This window comes from Homo sapiens, chromosome 4 (genome assembly GCF_000001405.40).
Source record: "Homo sapiens chromosome 4, GRCh38.p14 Primary Assembly".
In the NCBI taxonomy this organism is placed as follows: Eukaryota; Metazoa; Chordata; class Mammalia; order Primates; family Hominidae; genus Homo; species Homo sapiens.
The window spans coordinates 2,756,524-2,778,291 of record NC_000004.12 but is presented as its reverse complement, the minus strand read 5'-3'; the positions used below and the strand labels follow the sequence as shown (position 1 = coordinate 2,778,291).

General features: G+C 50.9%; 1 long non-coding RNA gene across 3 annotated transcripts, besides 5 other annotated features; it reads right to left on the bottom strand.

Annotated features, from left to right (window-relative positions):
* Positions 1-2,381: 2,381 nt before the first annotated feature.
* On the bottom strand, positions 2,382-16,560 carry LOC102723763 (uncharacterized). 3 transcript variants are annotated; one of them, XR_001741552.2, is made up of 3 exons: positions 16,141-16,560; positions 14,443-14,552; positions 2,382-2,907 (listed from the first exon to the last, which is right to left on the bottom strand). It is a non-coding gene; the product is annotated as an uncharacterized LOC102723763 (long non-coding RNA). The 3 variants fall into 3 exon arrangements; XR_925058.3 differs by lacking the exon at positions 2,382-2,907 and adding an exon at positions 3,060-3,098; XR_007057993.1 differs by lacking the exon at positions 2,382-2,907 and having other exon boundaries at positions 13,733-14,552; positions 16,141-16,190; positions 16,506-16,560.
* Positions 6,903-6,952: an enhancer, noted in NCBI's record as "active region_21183". NCBI's record gives its function as "activates an Ori minimal core promoter by ATAC-STARR-seq in GM12878 lymphoblastoid cells {active_cell/tissue: GM12878}" and the evidence as "EXISTENCE:reporter gene assay evidence [ECO:0000049][PMID:35858748]".
* Positions 13,772-14,321: a silencer, noted in NCBI's record as "silent region_15181". NCBI's record gives its function as "represses an Ori minimal core promoter by ATAC-STARR-seq in GM12878 lymphoblastoid cells {active_cell/tissue: GM12878}" and the evidence as "EXISTENCE:reporter gene assay evidence [ECO:0000049][PMID:35858748]".
* Positions 14,512-15,080: an enhancer, noted in NCBI's record as "H3K27ac-H3K4me1 hESC enhancer chr4:2764939-2765507 (GRCh37/hg19 assembly coordinates)". NCBI's record gives its function as "activates a minimal SCP1, AML or CMV promoter by ChIP-STARR-seq in naive H9 embryonic stem cells {active_cell/tissue: H9 hESC(naive)}" and the evidence as "EXISTENCE:reporter gene assay evidence [ECO:0000049][PMID:30033119]".
* Positions 15,884-16,708: an enhancer, noted in NCBI's record as "H3K4me1 hESC enhancer chr4:2763311-2764135 (GRCh37/hg19 assembly coordinates)". NCBI's record gives its function as "activates a minimal SCP1, AML or CMV promoter by ChIP-STARR-seq in naive H9 embryonic stem cells {active_cell/tissue: H9 hESC(naive)}" and the evidence as "EXISTENCE:reporter gene assay evidence [ECO:0000049][PMID:30033119]".
* Positions 21,494-21,633: a silencer, noted in NCBI's record as "silent region_15180". NCBI's record gives its function as "represses an Ori minimal core promoter by ATAC-STARR-seq in GM12878 lymphoblastoid cells {active_cell/tissue: GM12878}" and the evidence as "EXISTENCE:reporter gene assay evidence [ECO:0000049][PMID:35858748]".

Here is a 21,768-nt window from a genome sequence, read left to right as displayed (position 1 = left end):
TCGCCGAAGAGGTGGGTGTGTGAGATTGTAAGGGCTGATTTTTGAAAGATAAAATACATTCAGTTTCTCTATAAATTAATCATAAATGTCAAAGGCACACTGATGCAAGACCAGCATATGAGCCCCTGTGTCAGATTAACAAGATTTTTTTGAAGCATTAACGGACTCCTTAATAAAGGTTATAAAGGTTATAAAAGGCTTATGGAGGTTATATCTGATGGTCAAGATTAACATTTTATAGATTGTTTATAAAATTTTGAAAAACAAATTTAAGTCCTGGCGTGGTGGCTCACACCCGTAATCCCAGCACTTTGGGAGGCCAAGGCAGATGGATCGCCTGAGGTCAGGAGTTTGAGACCAGTCTGGCCAACATGGCAAAACCCTGTCTCTACTAAAAATACAAAAATTAGCTGAGTGTGGTGGCATGAACCTATAGTCCCAGCAACTCAGGAAGCTGAGACAAGAGAATTGCTTGAACCCAGGGGGCAGAGGTTGCAGTGAGCTGAGCCTGTGCCACTGCACTCTAGCCTGGGTGACAGAGGGAAACTCCGTCTCAAAAAAAAAAAAAAGAAAAACTAAAAAGAAAAACAAATTTAATCGGCTTCATACTGTTTTTAGTAGGACTTATTGTTTGGAAAATTAAATCTCCTCTCTCAAAGAATGAAGGTTTTCACCTTTTTTTGAAATCCTTGCGTTATCACTTGGGTTAAATGAATGACTTATTTTACAATGATCTGTGATCCTATTTTGTGATATCGATTGTTTTAAAGATTTGATATTTGACAAACCTTCCAAAATCCAATGATAAATTATGTGTTTTTCTGACCTAATTAATCCTTTAAGATATTAGTTTCCTTAAAGTTCAAAAATGACATAATTTCACTTCTTTGGTATAAAAATTAGACAGGAGCCGGGCGTGGTGGCTCACGCCTGTAATCCCAGCACTTTGGGAGGCTGAGACGGGTGGATCACGAGGTCAGGAGATCGAGATCATCCTGGCTAGCATGGCGAAACCCCGTCTCTGTTAAAAATATAAAAAATTAGCCGGGTGTCGTAGCAGGCATCTGTAGTCCCAGCTACTCGGGAGGCTGAGGCAAGAGAATGGCATGAACCTGGGAGGCGGAGCTTGCAGAGAGCGGAGATGGGGCCACTGCACTCCAGCCTGGGTGACAGAGCAAGACTCCGTCTCAAAAAAAAAAAAGAAAAAGAAAAAGAAAAAAGAGACCTTCCATGACTTAACCAGTGACATCATACAGGGAATTACTTGTACCCACATAGGTGGTCCCCAGGTCTTGAATACATGATGCCTGGAAGCACAATGTACCTTTTGTAGGCCTCATTTGGATAGGGCTTCTATATCTGATTCGGTTAGTAACTGGAAAGGACAGGGTGCTATTTCCAGTGAGTACAGAAAAGCATTAGCAGGCCAGGCGTGGTGGCTCACACCTGTAATCCCAGCACTTTGGGAGGCCAAGGCGGGTGGATCACTTGAGGTCAGGAGTTTGAGATCAGCCTGGCCAATATGGCAAAACCCCATCTCTAGTGAAAATATAAAAATTAGCCGGGTGTGGTGGCACATGCCTATAATCCCAGCTACTCGGAGGCTGAAGCAGGAGAATCACTTGAACCTGGGAGGCGAAGGTTGCAGTGAGCCGAGATCATGCCACTGCACTTCAACCTGGGTGATAGAGCAAGACTCCATCTCAAAAGAAAACTAAAGAAAAGCATTAGCAATGATGTCTGGAATATCAAGGATAGAACAGTCACGGTGGATCACGCCTGTAATCCCAGCACATTGGGAGGCCAAGGTGGGTGGATTGTTTGAGCCCAGGAGTTCGAGACCAGCCTGGGCAACAAGACCCTGTCTTTACAAAAAATTAGCCGGGCTTGGTGGTGCACCACTGTAGTCCCAGATAATTGGGAGGCTGAGGTGAGAGGATCATCTGAACCCAGGAGGCCAAGGTTGCAGTGAGCTGAAATCATGCCACTGACTCCATTATGGGCAACACAGCAAGATCCTGTCTCTTAAAAAAAAAAAAAAAAATCAAGGATAGCTTTCCACGCTGCTCTGGGGTTTCAGGGTGCCTCTTTTTTTTTTTTCTTGAGGCAGAGTCTCCCTCTGTTGCCCAGGCTGGAGTGCAGTGGCGTGATCTTGGCTCACTGCAACCTCCGCCTCCTGGGTTCGAGCAATTCTCCTGCCTCAGCCTCCTGAGTAGCTGGGACTGCAGGCACACACCACCATGCCTGGCTAATTTTTGTATTTTTAATAGAGACGGGGTTTTACCATGTTCCCCAGGCTAGTCTCAAACTCCTGACCTCAGATGATCCACCCGCCTTGGCCTCCCAAAGTGCTTGGGTTACAGGCGTGAGCCACCGCACCCGGCCCAGGGTGACTTATTCGGAATATGGAGAGGCACTGGCATCAGTGGAATTGTTTCCTCATTTGGGGGGCATTAGCCCACAGACTCAACAATTTATCTGGTTTCTTGCTAGAGCATAAGCCTGTACTAAAGCCATCCACAGATTATGGTCCAGTGGATTCTCCTGTAAGGAAAGGGAAGGGACTAAGACAACAGGAAATAAAAAAAGGAAAAAATAAAAGGCTTTCGTGAAGACAGAGAAGTCTGGATTTGTGACCTTGGGAAAGCCGCCCACATCCAGGATCCCACCTGCATCTGAAGAAAAACCTCCCTTGTCAGCTTTCCGTTGAGGTCTCCAACACGTATACGGTTCCAGGAGCCTGGAGGGGCCCTTTTGACTTATGAGATGTGAATCCAAAGTTTGAGGCCTTGAAGTTTTACTGCCGTGTGGGTGGTGAGAAGAACTTGGTAGGGTCTCTTCCAATGGGGTTCAAGGGCAGTCTCTCTCTGATGTCGTTTCCAGAAGACCAAATCTCCAGGTTCTAGACTGTGAAAGGTTTGATTGTCCTCAGTCAATGGTGAAAGTACACTTTGTCACAATGCATTAAACTCTTGCAGTATTGGCCGGGCGCGGTGGCTCACGCCTGTAATCCCAGCACTTTGGGAGGCTGAGGTGGGCGGATCACGAGGTCAAGAGATCGAGACCATCCTGGCCAACATGGTGAAATCCCGTCTCTACTAAAAATAAAAAAAAAAATTAGCTGGGCATGGTGGTGCACACACGTAGTCCCAGATACTCAGGAGGCTGAGGCAGGAGAATCCCTTGAACCCGGGAGGCGGAGGTTGCAGTGAGCCGAGATCGCGCCACTGCACTCCAGCCTGGCGACAGAGCGAGACTCCATCTCAAAAAAAAAAAAAAAAAAAGTCTTGCAGTATTTAGTCATATCAGAGTTTAGGAGAGAGGAGACAGGTGAAGCTCTGTTATTAAAGGTATGGGCCTTCCAGTAACTATTTTATAAGGGATCAATCTGTTTTCTAGTGGGAGTGGATCTGATGTCTGCCAATCAGTAATATCTTTAGCCAAGACACTCCAATTGATTATGTTAGTTTTGCCAATTTCAGTTTTCACAGACTCCTTGAATTGAAACAAACCCACCATCAAAAAAGGTGGGCCGGATGCGGTGGCTCACACCTGTAATCCCAGCACTTTGGGAGGCCGAGGCGGGTGGATCACGAGGTCAAGAGTTCTAGACCAGCCTAGCCAAGATGGTGAAACCCCATCTCTACTAAAAATACAAAAATTAGCCAGGCGTGGTGGCACATGCCTGTAATCCCAGCTACTCGGGAGGCTGAGGCAGAGAATTGCTTGAACCCGGGAGGCGGAGGTCACGGTGAGCCCAGATCACACCACTGCACTCCAGCCTGGGCAACTGAATGAGACTCTGTCTCAAAAAAAAAAAAAAAAAAAGTACCTATCTGAGGCCTCCAGCTGAATCCAGTCCAGTGAATTATCAGAACCAATTTGATCCAATTTGATCCAGGACCCAGTCCAGTCTACTAATTGCTCAAATAAACTTGGAGAGTTTTTTTGTTTTTTTTTTGAGACGGAGTCTCGCTCTGTCGCCCAGGCTGGAGTGCAGTGGCGCGATCTCGGCTCACTGCAAGCTCTGCCTCCTGGGCTCACGCCATTCTCCTGCCTCAGCCTCCCAAGTAGCTGGGACTACAGGTGTCCGCCACCACACCCAGGTAATTTTTTTCTATTTTTAGTATAGACAGGGTTTCACCGCGTTAGCCAGGATGGTCTCGATCTCCTGATGTCGTGATCCTCCCGCCTCGGCCTCCCAAAGTGCTGGGATTACAGGCGTGAGCCACCGCGCCTCGCCTAAACCTGGAGAGTTTAAAACACAAATTTGTAGAGCTCGGAACTTGAATGAGAACTTGCCGATGACCCCAGTTGCTGCAAGAGATCAGTGGTACCATGAGCCCTAGTGGGTAGCTTCCCTTGGTCACTCTTTGACAATGAAACACTTTAGGCTTATAGTTGCTCAGGAAAGTGCCAGAGTAAACAATTAATTATGTGTGAATGACAAAACTTAAAATGCCCATAGTTTAAAACCTTATGACTCAGGAGGCTGAGGCAGGAGGATCGTTTGAGCCCGAGATGTTGAGGCTGCAGTGAGCTGTGATCACACCACTGCACTACAGCCTGGGTGACAGAGCAAGACCCTGTCACTAAAAATCAATCAACCAATCAATCAATCAATCCCTGGCAGGGCACGCTGGCTCACACCTATAATCCCAGCACTTTGGGAGGTGGAGGTGGGAGGATTGCTTGAGGCCAGGAGTTCAAACCAACCTGGACAACATAGCAAGACCCCTGCTCTACTAAAAAATAAAAATAAGTTAGCTGGGCACAGTGGTGCCCACCTATAATCCCAGCTACTCAGAAGGCTGAAGCAGGAGGATCACTTGAGCCCAGGAGTTCAAGGCTGTAATGATTTACAACGGTGACACTTCACTCCAGCCTGGGTGATGAAGTGAGACCCTGTCTCAAAAAATAAATGAATAAATAAACATGTTTGTTAGGGTTTGAATGTGTCCCTCAAAGTTCATGTATTAGAAATTTAGTCCCCAGTGCTCCAGTGTTGAAAGGTGGGACTTTTAATAAGCCAAGCCCTCATGAATGCATTAATGCCATTCTAGCTGACGCGGGTTCTCATGGGAGTGGGTTCCTAATAAAAGGATGAGTTTGGCCTCCTTCCCTTCTCTCTCTCTCTGGGGCATGCCCTGTTGCCCTTCTACCTTCCTCCATGGGATCATGCAGCAAGGAGGCCCTTGTCCCAGTGTGAGTTCCTAGACCTTGGGCTTCCTGGACTCCAGAACTGGAAGAAACAAATCTGTTCTAGCCTGGTGCGGTGGCTCACGCCTGTAATCCCAGCACTTTGGGAGGCCGAGGCGGGCGGATCACGAGGTCAGGAGATCGAGACCATCCTGGTTAACACAGTGAAACCCCGTCTCTACTAAAAATACAAAAAATTAGCTGGGTGGGGTGGCAGGCGCCTGTACTCCCAGCTACATGGGAGACTGAGGCAGGAGACTCGCTTGAACCCAGGAGGCGGAGGTTGCAATGAGCCGAGATCCCGCCACCACACTCCAGCCTGGCAGCAGAGGAAGACTCCATCTCAAAAAAAAAAAAAAAAAAAAGAAAAGAAAGAAATCTGTTCTATAAATGACCCAGTCTTGAGTATTCTGTTACAGCACCACAAAATAGACTAAGACAATGTTCTACTTCACTAGTAATTAAATAAATACAAATGAGCATTTTTGCTCATTGAAGATAAAACTTAGTGTCACCACCATCTATAATGGCAGGTAAAAGCAGCATTTTATTACTACACATTAACGTGTGTGCTTATTATAAGATCAGTCGGGCCAGGTGCAGTGGCTCACGCCTGTAATCCCAGCACTTTGGGAGGTCGAGGTGGGTGGATCACCTGAGGTCAGGAGTTCGAGATCAGCGTGGCCAACATGGGGAAACCACGTCTCTACTAAAAATACAAAAATTAGCTGGGTGTGGTGGCAGGTACTTGTAATCCCAGCTACTCGGGAGGCTGAGGCAGGAGAATCCCTTGAGCCAGGGAGGCGGAGGTTGCAGTGAGCCGAGATCATGCCACTGCACTCCAGCCTGAGCGACAGAGCAAGATTCCATCTCAAAACAAAAGATCAGTCATTGAGAATCCCCCAGTGGCACACTCTACCTGGCCCGGTGTTAGCAGGATAGGGGTGTGCTGTCATACAGCCCCCACTGCAGCATGACGGGAGCCCCCAGCAGCAACCCTGCTCCCTCCCTGCATTCTCCAGTGCAGGAGGCTGCTGAGAGGTGCTCCCTTGCCGGTATGCACAGACCTGAATTGGTAAAATGCTCTTTTCCCTGTCAATACCACACTTGGGGGGGTGCAGGTGGCCCTGTGACAACAGGGACATGCTCTAGTACTACACAGAAATCTGTCGATCCCGAGGCACAAGTTCAAATCCCGCTGACTTACCAACAAGGGAAAACGGTATGTAAGTCATGAGTGTGTTTCGAATTTAGTTTTTACTTTTCATCAGAGTTATACATGCACATTTTCTTTTTTCTTCTTCTTTTTTTTTTTTAAGACAGACAGAGTCTCACTTTGCTACCCAGGCTAGAGTGTAGTGGCACAGTCATAGCTGACTGCCACCTCAAATTCCTGGGCTTAAGCGATCCTCCCACCTCAGCCTCTCAAGTGGCTGGGACTACAGGTGTGTACCACCACGCTCAGCAGATTTTTTTGTAGAGGTGGGGTCTTGCCATCTTGCCCAGGCATGTCTCGAACTCCTGGGCTCAAGCAATCCTCCCGTCTTGGCTTCCCAGAGTGCTGGGATTACAGGCATGAGCCACCACACCCAGCCACATGCACATAATTTAAACAGCTACATAGTTTTACAAGGCTGCTTACAAAATACAGCAGTCCCCTGTACTCACATCTCTGGAGGCAACTGCCTTCAACTTGCAGCTCATTCTTTTGGTTTCATCTTCATATCCCTGAAAAGCACACTTAAATTGCTACTTCCTGACCTCCAGTATCACTATATCATCTTTGATTTAGGTCAAGAGTCACAGTTGACATTGTGAGGGGACAGCATGAACTCTTTCATACCTGAGCTATGTAATGGGCCATCATAACTTTTCCTTCCCTGCTTAACTTCTTGTTTCCTCTGGAGTTAATAAATGCTGTCTTTCTAATTTTGCTTACTTTTTTTTATTACTAATTCAACTCCAAATTCTGCCAAATGTCCCAGTCTCCCCCAAAGCATTTCAGTATGTCAGATATTCTGCCAACTCAAAGTAGACTCTGTTTTGTGAGCTGGGGGCATAGCCTTCACCCTGGGGCCTCCCTTCACCAGCATTCTTTCGCCCTTCTGTCTTATGTAGGATCCCGCTTCCTGGATCCCACCACTTCCTCTTTCTTGGTTTACTCTCTCTTTGACAGAGCATACCCTGGAGTCACTTCCTGAGAAAGGGGCCAGGGATGTACATTTTTTGAAGGCTTATCATTCTGAAATTCTCTCTTCTACCCTCACTCATGATGAATAGTTTGGCTAAGTATAAAAATTGAGGTTAGAAATCATCCAACTTCAGAATTTTGAGAGCTTTCATTCATTGACTTCAACCATCTAGTTGTGTTGTTGCGAAGTCAGAAGCCATTCTGATCCTGGCCAGTTGTACAGGACCTACTGCTTTTCTGTTTTTGAGACGGAGTTTCACTTTTGTCTCCCAGGCTGGAGTACAACGGGGCGATCTCAGCTCACCGCAACCTCCACCTCCCAGGTTCAAGCGATTCTCCTGCCTCAGCGTCCCAGGTAGCTGGGATTATAGGCGCCCACCACCATGCCTGGCTAATTTTTTGTATTTTTAGTAGAGACAGAGTTTCGCCATGTTAGCCAGGCTGGTCTCGAACTCCTGGCCTCAAGTGATCTGCCCGCCTAGGCCTCCCAAAGTTCTGGGATTACAAGCGTGAGCCACCACTGCTGGCCAGGACCTGTTGTTTCTCTCTGGATATTTACAGGATCTTCTCTTTGTCTCCCATGTTCTGAAACTCCCTTTGATGTGCCTTAAGTACACATCTGCTTTCATTCTTGGTTCTAAGCACTCAACAGGTCCTTTCAATCCAGAAACTTGAGTTTAATTTCTTTTTTTTTTTTCTTTTTTCTGAGATAGAGTCTCCCTCTGTTGCCCAGGCTGAAGTGCACTGAGATGATCTCGGCTCACTGCAACCTCTGCCTCCCAGGTTCAAGCAATTCTCCCACCTCGACCTCCTGAGTAGCTGGGATTACCACCATGTCTGGCTAATTTTTGTATTTTTAGTAGAGACGGGGTTTCACCACGTTGGCCAGGCTGGTCTCAAACTCCTGACCTCAGGTGATCCGCCCGCCTCGGCCTCCCAAAGTACTGGGATTACAGGCGTGAGCCACTGTGCCTGGCTGAGTTTAATTTCTGTGAAATGTTTTTGGATTGTTTCTTTGATGATTTTCTCCCCTCCTTGTTCTCCCTATCTAGACATATTATGTAGATGTTAAGTGTCCCAGACTGGTCCTTCAATTCCTTTTTTTCTCTCATTTTCAACTTTTTTCTTTTTCAACTTTTTTTTTTTTTTTTTTTTTTTTGAGACAGGATCTTGCTATGTTGCACAGGCTGGTCTCGAACTTCTGGACTCAAGTGATCCTCCCACCCTGGTCTCCTGAGTAGCTTGGACGACAGGCATGCACCACTGCAAGGGCTTTATTTTCAACTTTTTGCTCTAATTTCTATAAAATTTCCTCAATCTTATCTTCCAACTCTTCTACTGAGTTTTCAATTTCCATGATCCTATTTTTAATTTCCAAGTGCTCTTTATATTCTCCAAATGTTCTTTCTTTATGGCACCTAGTTCTTTTTTCATAAATACAAAATTTTATCTTTCCTTCTTGAATATATTAATGACAGTTTTTTCCAAGCTGTCTTCTCGCAGAACAGTCTCTGTTTCCTTCCAGTTGTCCTTTTTCTGTTTGTTTTGTCTCTCTCTTCCACATCAGAGGAATCTCTCAGATGTCTGGTCATCCCGGCTGGCTTCTCAGGCTGGAGAGTAGGGACTGGTAAGCAGTGACCTGGCAGGAAACCGCCCGTGTGATCTGCCGATCAGGTTCCCTGGACACCCTGTGACACCCTGCATAGAGGGGAGAGGTCTGGCTGCCGGCGTTCTGAGCACTGCGGGTGGGTGGATGGGACGGCGCTGGGGTCTTGGCATCATGTAAATGTGCATCACATCCTCCCACCTTCAGCATGAAACCTCAGCCCCGCTGAGCCTGATATTCCCCCGCATCCAGAGACCCTCCGTCTGCTCCACGCCAGGGAAGAAGCCACTGGTGTCTGGCCTGGCGGGGGAAGCCCAGAAGCCCAGCTGTGGGTGGAGGCTGTGGGGGGAGGGGATCTGGTTCCCTGCCCGTTTCTAGCCATCCTGCTTATGTTCAGCTCCCCTTCACCCACACTCCTACATGGAGCCACACATTCCTGAGCCTTTGGTGGGGAATATGAGGGCCTGGGTCTGGGGGCATGGGGAGCCCTGCCCTCTATCCTGGGGACCACCAAGGCTGCAGTTGGTCCTTCCTTCTGAGCCCCAGTTTCTCAGCTGTTCAGTGAGGACTACATTTTTCCCTGGGCTCTTCCCACCTGAAGGGACTTTTCAACTTGGGGAGGAGCCTGCCGGGAGCTGCCAGGTATGTAACTCGCCCCCAAGAGCATCTCTCCTGGGGTTCGTCTTCCTCGGCAGTTTCTGTCTTCAAAAACCTCTTTGTTATAAGTAACTCTTTACCATCAAACATCTTAATTTGCAGACTGCGCTGTAGCCATCACCCAACACCGGAGTTGAGTGGTAACACCTTGGCTATCAGCAGACGCCTCAGATGGCACCTGAACCCTCACTGGCAGCTGAGATGAAGGCTCCGTGGGGATGAAATACAGACACCCCGCTCGGTGTGTGGAGGGGCTGGGGTTGAACAGGAAGGAGGCCAGAAGACGGCTTCTGGGAGGAGGAAAATGGCTCTGACAAGGAATGGGAGCCACCAAAGACCCAAGAGCCACCCTCACCTCCTAGCCCAGGGGCTGTGCAGCTCAGGGCTCTACTGGGCATCACCCTCATAGGTGGCATCACCTCTACCGTACGGGCACATCACCCTCATCCAGATGAGGTGGCCTGGGAGCAGCAGAGAGCATGGCACACGCCAGCTATCATGGGTGTTTGCTACAAATGTCTTTAATACACGACAAAAGTAAGCTGTGGCTAATTTTCATTGAACAGACGCAAACATCAAGGCTACAGAGAGGAAAGATCTGTGAAGGCCACCAGAGCCTGCAGGCCACACGCCAGGCCCTCCCACTCCGGGGCTGTGCAGGCTTCTTGCTGTGCTCGTCTGTCCTCAGCTGCCGTGTGCCACACCCACCCATCACTGGAGTTTGTCAGAGACGCCAGGCCGACAAGTGCCCCTGGGTTGTCACTCCTCCCACGTCCTTGGGATGCTGGCTGGGACAGCCCTGCTCTGCTGACCCCTCACTCCTAAGGGGCTCGCGGAAGAGGCCGAGGGTCTGAGAGCTGGCTCCTTGGCCCAAGGCAGGGCTGTCCAAATCCTAAGGTCCCTCTGCTCCCATAGGAAGGCTTCCAGAAGCCTCTCTCTGGGGCCAGGGCATCTGGGAAGATGTCCCGGCCCTAACTATGATTGGGAAATGGGGCAAGATGGAGAAAAATGGCGTTTGTGAAAGGGCTCCCGGGGATATAGTCTGTATCACAGGCAGACAGGGGCCTGCAGGACTGGGCTAGGGGGCTGGCTGGGGGAAGGCAGCAGGTGGGGCAGCCACACCTCCACTGGGCTGCTCCCCCAGAGCTGGTCTGAAGACAGGCAAGGGGTATGGCTGTGACCAACCCTCTCCTGGCACCCCACCCCCAGCAACCCCTGATATTGGGGTCACAGCTCAGCCTCTTCCACTTACTCACGCATGCATACCACATATATTTACTGAGCAGCTAAACATTCATTCATGCATGCATCATACATTCATTCATTTATTCCACAGTCACCTGAGGGCCCTCCCCTGTGCAGCACTGTGCCAGACCCTGGGGGTGCTGAAACCAATCAGGTCACTGCTTACGATGTCCCAAGCTCTCTCAAATGCCCCATCCCCAGCCTCAGCCTTCCTGCCCCAGATGAGGGCAGATCCATCCTCCCCACTGCTCAGGCCAAGGTCTTCAGGTCCTCTTTGATTTTCCCTAACCCTACCTCACCCCAGTCTGTATGAGTTTCCTGTGGTTGCAGGAAAAAATTATTTCAAACTCAGTGGCTTAAAACAACACAGAGTTATTCTCTGATACTTCCGGAGGTCAGAAGTCTGAGACAGGGGTCTCCCTGAGCTAAAGTCAAGGTGTTGGCAGGGCCACATTCTTTCTGGGGCTCTAGGGGAGAATCCATTCTTGGCTGTTTCCACCTCCTAGAGGCCACCGGCATTCCCTGGCTCGTGGCCCCTTCCTCCAGGCTCAAAGTCAGCAACACTGGGTCAAATCCTTCTCACACTGCGTTACTCTGGCCTTCTCTTCCGCCTCCCTCTTCCACGTTGAAGGACCCTGTGATGACATTGGGATCACCTGCTGACCCAGGGAAAGCTCCCTATTTTAAGGGTAACTGATTAGCAACTTCAATTCATCTGCTGCCTTTATTCCCCTTGCCATGGAAGGTAACACATTTACAAATTCTGGGGATTAGGATGTGGAAGTCTGGGGGCGGGGGTCATGATTATGCTGATTCTGTCGTTATTAGGAATTCCTCGCTCCACTTCAGAAGCCCCCCCAGAACCTGGTGGGTTCTCACCATCTCCAAGACCACTGCTTGGGGACAAGCTACCACCATTGCTTCTTTTCTGGATTTCCTCTCCCCAAGAATCCTACAAGGCTCCCATTTTGCTCCAAAGAAAAGCCAGAGTTCCCACGGTGGTCTACAAAGCCGCCATGACCTCGGCCCTAGTCCCTCCTCCTCCACTACGTCTGCTTCAGCCACAAGAGTCTCCTTGTTTCCTGCACTGGCAAACACACCCCTGCCTCTGGGCCTCTCCATGGGCTGTTCCCTCGGCCTGGAATGCTCTTTCCCCAGAAATCTCCCTCCTTGACCCTCTGTGCATCTGTGCTCAGAGGTCCTGTTAACACTGCCCTGGCCCCTGCCATAGCACTGCCATCCCTCTTGGCCCTCCAGGAAAAGGAGCAAGTTCTCCAAACCCCGCTAGTCCAGGAGGCATGAGCTGTGCTTGACCTGGCTGCACAGGACGACTGAGCTAAGGGGATTCAGAACAAAGTTTTCTCCCATAGGGTGGCCGGGATGCTCTCTGAGGCCTAGCATTGAGGAAGTAAAAGAATTACGGAGGCCAGGCGGTGGCTCACACCTGTAATCCCAGCACTTTAGGAGGCTGAGGCAGGAGGATCACTTGAGCCCAGGAGTTAAAGACCAGCCTGGGCAACATAGTGAGGTGCACCCCACCCCCGCCGCCATCTCTATAAAAAATACAAAAATTAGCCTGGTGTCGTGGAACACACCTGTAGTCCCAGCTACTCAGGAGGCTGAGGTGGGAGGATTGCTTGATCCTGGGAGGTAGAGGTTGCAGTAAGCCGAGATGACACCACTCCCTCCAGTGTGGGCGACAAAGCCAGACCTTGTCTCAAAAAATAAAAATAGGGGCCAGGCGCGGTGGCTCATGCCTGTAATCCCAGCACTTTGGGAGGCCGAGGCGGGCAGATCACGAGGTCAGGAGATCGGGACCATCCTGGCTAACGTGCTGAAACCCCGTCTCTACTAAAAATACAAAAAATTAGCCGGGTGTAGTGGCGGGCGCCTGTAGTCCCAGCTACTCAGGAGGCTGAGGCAGGAGAATAGCGTGAACCCAGGAGGTGGAGCTTGCAGTGAGCCAAGATCACGCCACTGCACACTCTGGCCTGGGTGACAGAGCCAGACTCCGTCAAAAAAAAAAAAAAAATGCCATAAAGAATAAGGATCATTATACTTCACGTATGGATGGCAAAAGAGGGCCAAAAATAGATATGGAGATAATCCAGATAATCATTAAGTATATTTAAGAATAGTGTCAACTTTGACCATTGTAATTGGTATAAAAATATGACAGATTTCTGGATATTTATATCCAGATTATACAATATATACAGATTATATTTTATAGATACTAATGTTTGCCAACATTTCTAATATAGAGTTTGAAATGTTTCATCAAAACATTTAATACATGTAAAATATATACAAAGTTAAATACAGTAAAATCAAAATAATGTGGAAACTAGAATCTACTTGACATATCTCCCTAGCAAGATAGTGTTTTTTTCCAACTGTACTATATTATATGAAAGTCCTGTTGCTATGCATATTCTGTACATGCCATGGCTACGTCTACAAATATGAAACAGCTAGAATAAACGGAAAAATCTAAACACCAGAGATGTTTTTACGTGGTTGTATATGAAATTATCATGTTGACAAAACAGCCAGATAATAAAGTTTTCAAACTCAAGATTTTTGTCTTATATGTGTAACCTCTGTTCTATTTGTTACAAATTATAAGTCTATGTTACTTAAGTGTGTGAATGAATAAAGGAAACATCTAGTTTAAAAAAAAAAAAAAAAAGACCAGCCTGGCCAACATGGCAAAACCCCGTCACTGCTAAAAATACAAAAATTAGCCGGGCGTAGTGGCGTGCACTGTAATTCCAGCTACTCGGGAGGCTGAGGCAGGAGAATCGCTTGAACCCGGGAGACGGAGGTTGCAGTGAGCTGAGATTGCACCATTGCACTCCAGCCTGGGCAACAGAGCGAGACTCTGTCATTAACAAACCAACCAACTTCCCCCAGCGCTCAGGGGCCCACGCTGGGGAGCAAAGTGGGTCTCCTCTGAGACAAACGTGGAGACTGCTCGAGAGCGAGGGTGGAGAGGTGCTGGGGGCGCTGGTCGGGGCGCGGGTTGCGGGACGGGGAGGGGCTGGGCGGGGCGCTCGCGCTCGCCTTCTGCCTGAGGCCTGGTCTGGGGCCGCGGGTCCACACCGCCTCCTCGTGGACACTCGCCGCGAGGGCCCGCGCCGCCCGCGGAGGCTGGGCTTGAGCCCACGGGAAATGAATACGGATCCTATAAGATTCGAGCTTTCATCACTGGGTCACCAGACGGTTCTGGGCGCGTGTCCGGGGTTCATCCTGAATATGCGCTGATGGGGCCGCTGGGCACGGTGGCGGTGTGGCCGCAAGGCCCCGCGGGGCCGCGCCCACCCGGAGGGTCCCATACCAGCCCCTCCTCCGCGCCCAGGCCCTGGCTCTCCCCGCTGCACCCCCGCTGCCCGCAGCCCTGAGCGCGCCCCGCTTTCGCTGGCGGGACAGCAGCGTCCTGCCAGGGTCGCGGCGCCGCACAGCCCGAATACTTCCTCACGAAACTCCAGAGACCCCTTCTGTACCCGCTGTGTCCCCCGGCCTGCCAGTAGCTCATGGTTACCTCAGGGTCCCAGACGCTTAAATGGGTTCTGGAATTTTCTCTGCCTCCTCTTGCCTTCCGGGAGCAAATGCGATGGTGGCTGCCAGCTGCTCGCCTACGCTTTTCTGCTCCTAAGGGCTCGACAAGGCAAATGCATTGGCTCAGGTCAGGACAAAGAGCAGGATGATTTCCCAAGGTCCCGGGGCACTGGAGCTGCGGGGAAGGGCAGCGGCCCTGAGCCGGGACCCCTGTGTAGGGGAAGACCCCTGCCCCTCCTGGAGGCCGGCCGGCTCTTACGGGTTTTGGCCTAGCATCCCCATGTGTGTCCGGAATTGGTGGGTTCTTGATCTCACTGACTTCAGGAATGAAGCCGCGGACCCTCGCGGTGTTACAGTTCTTAAAGGCGGTGTGTCTGGAGTTTGTTCCTTCTGATGTTCGGACGTGTTCAGAGTTTCTTCCTTCTGGTGGGGTTCGTGGGCTCGGCGGACCCTGCACTCGGAGCAGCCAGCCGGCCCCACCGGCCACAGGCAGTGAGGGGCTTAGCACCTGGGCCAGCAGCTGCTGTGCTCAATTTCTCGCCGGGCCTTAGCTGCATTCCCGCGGGGCGGGGCTCGGAACCTGCAGCCCGCCATGCCTGAGCCTCCCCCGCTCCTCCGTGGGCTCCTGTGCAGCCCGAGCCTCCCTGACGAGCGCCGCCCCCGCTCCACGGCGCCTAGTCCCATCAACCACCCAAGGGCTGAGGAGTGCGGGTGCACGGTGCGGGACTGGCAGGCAGCTCCACATTCACTGGGTGAAGCCAGCTGGGCTCCTGAGTCTGGTGGGGACGTGGAGAACCTTTATGTCTAGCTAAGGGATTGTAAATTCACCAATCGGTACTCTGTATCTAGCTCAAGGTTCGTAAACACACCAATCAGCACCCTGTGTCTAGCTCAGGGTTTGTGAATGCACCAATCGACAATGTATCTAGCTAATCTGGCGGGGACGTGAAGAACCTTTGTGTCTAGCTCAGGGATTGTAAACACACCAATCAGCACCCTGTGAAAACAGACCACTCGGCTCTACCAATCAGCAGGATGTGGGTGGGGTCAGATAAGAGAATAAAAGAAGGCTGCCCGAGCCAGGAGCGGCAACCCGCTGGGGTACCCTTACCACATTGTGGAAGCTTTGTTCTTTTAGTCTTTGGGTCCACACCGTGTTTACGAGCTGTAACACTCATTTGTTGAAGGTCTGCAGCTTCACTCTTGAAGCCAGTGAGACCGCGAACCCACCGGGAGGAACGAACAACTCCAGACGCACCACCTTAAGAGTTGTGACACTCACCGCGAAGGTCCGCAGCTTCACTCCTGAGCCAGTGAGACCACGAACCCCACCAGAAGGAAAAAACTCCGAACACATCTGAACATCAGAAGGAACAAACTCCGGACACGCTGCCTTTAAGAGCTGTAACACTCATTGCCAGGGTCCACAGCTTCATTCTTGAAGTCAGTGAGACCAAGAACCCACCAATACCGGAAACACATGGGCTGGGCCAGGCAAGGGGGACGTTTGGGGCTCAGTCTGTCCTGGTCCCTTCTATGGCTACTCCAGTCCCTCCCCTGCTTGCTGCACTCTAGCCACCCCTGGACTCCTCCAAGGGTCTTGATCAGGCCCTGCACAGGTCCCTGGGGCTCTGCACTCGCCAAGCCCTCTGCCTAAGAGGTTCTTTGCCCAGATACTTACATTGTGTTCTCCTGGTCTTTATCCACGGGTCCCTGACTTTCCTGACCTCCCTGAAGGAAAGCCAGGAAGAGTGGAGAGGTCTGAGCTAGGAGCCTGTGGGAGTCAAAGAAGGTGCCCAGAGGAGGAGAGGAAGAGAAAGGGTGAGCCAGGTGGGGGGACTCTGCCCACCCCTCATACCCCGGCTGAGCCCTCCCATGCCTGCCTGCTCCCGTCAACCTCCCACCTCCCTGCTGAGTTGGAGCCGGGGGAGCCTGGAGGTGAGGATGTGCCAGGTAGGAGCCCCACAGGGGCCATGGGACACCAAGAGGTGATCCAGGAGGCATGCGTGGCAGCCCTGCCTCTGAAGTGTGGGGCCTAAGAGGGACCTGTTGGGCAGCTCAGGGCTTCTCCTTGGGGAGCTGACCCAGCCGTCTGTTCTGTGACCACCTTGACACCCACATCCAGTTCCTGCCGCAGTGCGCCTCTGTGAGCCCCACCCCCTGGCGGTGCTTGTGCAAACAATGGAAGGAATGAGTATTCCAGGCACTGAAGCAGCAGGCACAAAGTCCTGAGGCAGGAGAGAACTTGGTGTTTTTCATGGGAAGGAGTCAGTATTCCAGGCACTGAAGCAGCAGGTACAAAGTCCTGAGGCAGGAGAGAACTTGGTGTTTTTCATGGGAAGGAGTCAGTATTCCAGGCACTGAAGCAGCAGGTACAAAGTCCTGAGGCAGGAGAGAACTTGGTGTTTTTCATGGGCTCTTTCAGAATGACTGGTCTACAGTGAGCCGGAGAAAGGGGTGCAGATGGGTCTGAAAACAGCAGGGCCAGTGGACCACGCAGGCCTCAGCAGCTTCATCTGTGGGTGGGGCTCACGTTTACTCTACCCACCCATTCTGGGATTAGTAGCTACCCAGGGCTTTGCTGCTCTGGGGTGCTGGTGTCTCGCATTAGGCCTTCTCTTGCATGATCTCTGCTGATATCCACTGGCCATGCAGCCTCGAGCAGGTGGGGACAGACTTGGTCTACTCCAGGGCAGGTGCCCAAAGTCACACGGCAAAAGGGCGTGGCGGGAGGTGGTAAAAAGCTGGGAGCAACAGTCCATCTAGCACAAATACACATTTGCTGCAAAAAGCCCTGTTGTCAAGACAGTCCTCAGGTTTGACGATTCAGTAGAAGGACTCACAGTTATTCATTACAGCAAAAGGACACAGAAGAAAATCGGCAAAGGAAAAATAAGGCACATAGAGCGGGCCCGGCGGGGAGACCAGGTGCAAGTACCCACAGGATATCGCTCTCCCAACAGTACTGGGAGTGTTGCCAAACTGGGAAGCTCACCTGAGACTTTGTGTCCAGAGCTGTGGTTAGGGGTTGATCACATAGGCGGGGAGTGCCCATATGGCTGACCTGAGTTACTCGGTCTCCAGCTCCTTCAGAGCTCAAGCTCATGACCCAAGGCCTCAAGTTAGCTTAGACTAGCTGGTGTGGTCCAAGGCCCCCACATAAGCAAAGACACTCTTATCAGGTGGGATATTCCAAAAGGTCTAGGGCCAGTCCCTTTTTTGGAACATGCAGGGTTGAACACACTAGGCCTGCTGCACTAGCCCCATCCTGCACAAATCTAGATGAGTTTCAGAACACAGAAAGTGAATGCTGGCTGGGCGCGGTGGCTCACGCCTGTAATCCCAGCATTTTGGGAGGCCAAGGCAGGCAGATCACTTGAAGTCAGGAGTTTGATACCAGCCTGGCCAACATGGTGAAACCCCATCTCTACTAAAAATACAAAAATTAACCAGGCATGGTGGCACGTGCCTGTAATCCCAGCTACTCAGGAGGCTGAGGAAGGAGAATCACTTGAACCCAGGAGGCAGAGGTTGCAGCTGAGATCGCAGCATTGCACTCCAGCTTGAGTGACAGAGTGAAATGCTGTCTCGAAAGAAACAAAGAAAGAGAATGCGGAAAGAAAGAGGGAGGGAGGGAGGGAGGGAAGGAAAAGAAAGAAATTGCTCCCTGTATCAGCTCCTGCCCAACTCTAGGCCATACCCAGTTGTGAACTCACTCAGCCAACTCTCATGCCTGGCTCCTTCTCACCCTTTAGGTTGCAGAGCTGGACTGTTATCTTGTCTCTAATCACCCTCTTTAAAGTTAGGTTCCTCCTTTTTTTTTTTTTTTTTTTTTTTTTTGAGAGGGAGTCTCGCTGTGTCACCCAGGATGGAGTGCAATGGCGCTATCTTGGCTCACTGCAACCTCTGCCTCCCGGGTTCAAGCGATTCTCCTGCCTCAGCCTCCCGACTAGCTGGGGTTACAGGCACCCGCCACCATGCCTGGCTAATTTTTGTATTTTTAGTAGAGACAGGGTTTCACCATGTTGGCCAGAGTGGTCTCGAACTCCTGACCTCAGGAGTCCTGCCTGCCTTGGTCTCCCAAAGTGCTGGGATTACAGGTGTGAGCCACCGCACCCAGCCTGTTGTTTTCTTATACACATTTTCCCCTTCCTTTCCTTACACAAAATTTCCTTACGTTGCAATTATTCTTGTTTTGGAAAAGGATCTGTCTCCACTATTACAATGTCCACACATGAGTCCCCAGTGCCTGGCCCAGTACCTAAATTTGCATTGAAGGCAAGAGCATGCTGGGCACTTCCCATGTGACCTTACTGAATATTTACAACACCCTCTAAGACAAGTGTTCTTGGAGGTCTGGGATCCCTCATCCGCAATTCTGAAATCTAAAAAGCTCAGAAACCCAAAATAGTTTTCTTTCTTTCTTTTTTTTCTCAGAGACAGGGTCTCACTGTGTGGCCCAGGCTGGAGAGCAGTGGCACAATCACCATTTACTGCAGCCTCAAACCCCTGCCTCAAGCAATCCTATCTCAGCCTCCTGAGTATCTGGGACTACTGGCACACACCATCACACCCACCTAGTTTCTTTTAACTTTTTGTAGAGATGGGGTTTTGCTATGTTGCCCAGGCTGGGCTCCAACTTCTGGGCTCAAGAGATCCTCCTGCCTTGGCCTCCCTAAGTGCTGGGATTACAGGCATGAGCCACTGCACCTGGCCCCAAAATGTTTTTCTTAAAGGTGGTACAAAATCTGACTTCAACAGCTACAAGGCTTTTTCTGATCTTCATTCATCTCGCAGTCTGAATGGTCACCCTGTCTTTGCAGAAATTGTAATCTGTCTGGTTTTGTGGTGCTGTACCATGTCCCAGTGGGAGCACTAAGTCAGATTTTAGCTGTTCATTTTCCATTGCTGCAGAACAAACTATCCCAAATGTTAGTAGCTTAAAACAATAAGCATATATTATCTCATCCAGTTTCTGTGGTCAGGGACTCAGAGCAGTTTAGCTGGGCGGTCCTGGCCCGGGGTCTTCCATGGAGTCACAGTCAGTATGTCAGTGGGGGCTACTGTCTTCTGAAGGCTTGACTAGGGTCGGAGGATACAGTCCCAAAGTGGCTTCTTCACCACAGTGGGCAAGTGGGCGCCGGCTGCTGCCATGAAGCCTCAGTTCCTTGCCACATGGACCTCTTCACAGGGTTACTTGATGATAGGGTGGGTGGCTTCCCCCAGAGAGAATGCTCCGAAAGAGGGCAAGGCAGTAGCCGTGATGTCTTGTGGGAGCTAGCTGCAGAAGTCACACTCCATCATTTCTGCAGTACCCTCTTAGTTACCCAGGTCAGCCCTCTCCAGTGGATTGGAGGGGACTACACAGGAGCATGGATATTGGAAGGAGGGGATCCTCTTTGAAAGCTGGCTCCCCCAGTTATATGTACCTATTTGAAATCCAAAGATCCTCATTTCTAAAATACACATGGCGGCCTGGCGTGGTGGCTCACGCCTACAATCCCAGCACTTTGGGAGGCCGAGGCAGGCGGATCACTTGAGGCCGGGAGTTCGAGACCAGCCTGACCAATATGGTGAAACCCCGTCTCTACTAAAATACAAAAAATTAGCCAGGCGTGGTGGCGGGCGCCTGTAATCCCAGCTAATTGGGAGGCTGAGGTGGGAGAATCACTTGAACCTGGGAGGCGGAGGTTGCAATGAGCCAAAAATCACACCACTGCACTCCAGCCTGGGCGACAGATTGAGACTCCGTCTAAAATAAATCAATACGATACAGTACAGTACAATACAATACAATACACCACACCTGACCCCAAGGCTGTTGTTGGATGAGAGACTGTGGATTGTCACATGCACCTTTTACAGTTGAGGCAGAGGCTCAAGGTAGGTCACTGGAATGACGTGCCCCAGGCCACACATTAGCCTCTAACAGCTCTGGGTCCAGTTTTGTTTTTTCCACTCATGCCCCAGACAATCAATAGGCATTGTTTGTAACCATAGCCATGGGGACTGTAGGCTTGCTGTGCAGCAGCCACTGCACTGGACAAGCATTCCATGCACACTCCACCCTCTAGTCCCCACAACAGCCCAACCAGGTAGGGTGGGCACTCGCTCTGCCCTTCCTTCTGCTGAGAGGAAGCCCAGGCTCTGATGAGTAAGAAGGAGCCTTCCATAGCAAAGCCAGGCCTGTGTAGCCCAATGTCCGGGCCATAAGCACTTGGGTGGCTCTGGCTTTGCTTATAGGCTTGTCTGATTCTACAAGCTTGTGTTTTCCCAGGCTCAGCTCAGGCTTGGCTGTGGATCACATAAGGGAAGAAAGTCAAGAAGCTGCTCAGGGGCGGAGCCTGTGGGCAAGTGCACACACAGGGAAGACCCCTGCCCTATCCTGAGTAGGGAACCTTGGAAAGACCCCATGTGTGCTTGGGCATCATTGTGGGGAAGACTGGGCTGTGGAAAAACACTAGCGTTTGTCTGGGAATTTTGGGGAAGGAAAGGGATGGAAAAGCGAAAGGGTGGGAAGGGGCTGGTTTCCTGCTGCTTCTGCTATATAAGAACAGCATCTAGCAGGAAGGTTGTCCCGTGGGCCCATACTAGCCACCTTACAAAGCAGCGTCTGCAGTGGCTGACGCCTGTAATCCCAGCACTTTGGGAGGCTGAGGCCGGTGGATCTACCTGAGGTCAGGAGTTCAAGACCAGCCTGGCCAACATGGTGAAACACCATCTCTACTAATAATACCAAAAAATTAGCAGGGCATGGTGGCGGGCGCCTGTAATCCCAGCTACTCAGGAGGCTGAGGCAGGAGAATCGCTTGAAACTGGGAGGCGGAGGTTGTAGTGAGCCGAGATCGCGCCATTACACTCCAGCCTGGGCAACAGAGCGAAACTCCGTCTCAAAAAGAAGAAAAAAAAGGAAAGAAAAAAGAAAGCGGCGTGCGGGGCAGGGGGTTGGAGCTCTTTCTGGGCTCAGTGTCCCCAGGTGACGGAACACATGCCACGTGCTTGGTGCGCTGCGAGCTCAGCTCCTGGAGCTTCTGTTGCTGCTGTGGCCGCAAGGCCTGGACCCTCGCGGGGAGATTCAGACCCACACTTAGCTCCAGAGCTTGGGGGTTGTCGTTAAGCCCTTCCTTTCCATCAGAGGCTGATGAATCCCCAAACTCCTGGGCTGAGTTCGACTCTCCGACAACTCCTCAGAGGCGGATGTTTGGGGCCACTGGAATAAGCCCAGCACCAGCTGGGGTGTGGACAGCCTCGGGGGCCAGGCCAACTCTCCCGGACGGGTGCGGACGGCAGGGGCGGGGCCGGGCTGTAG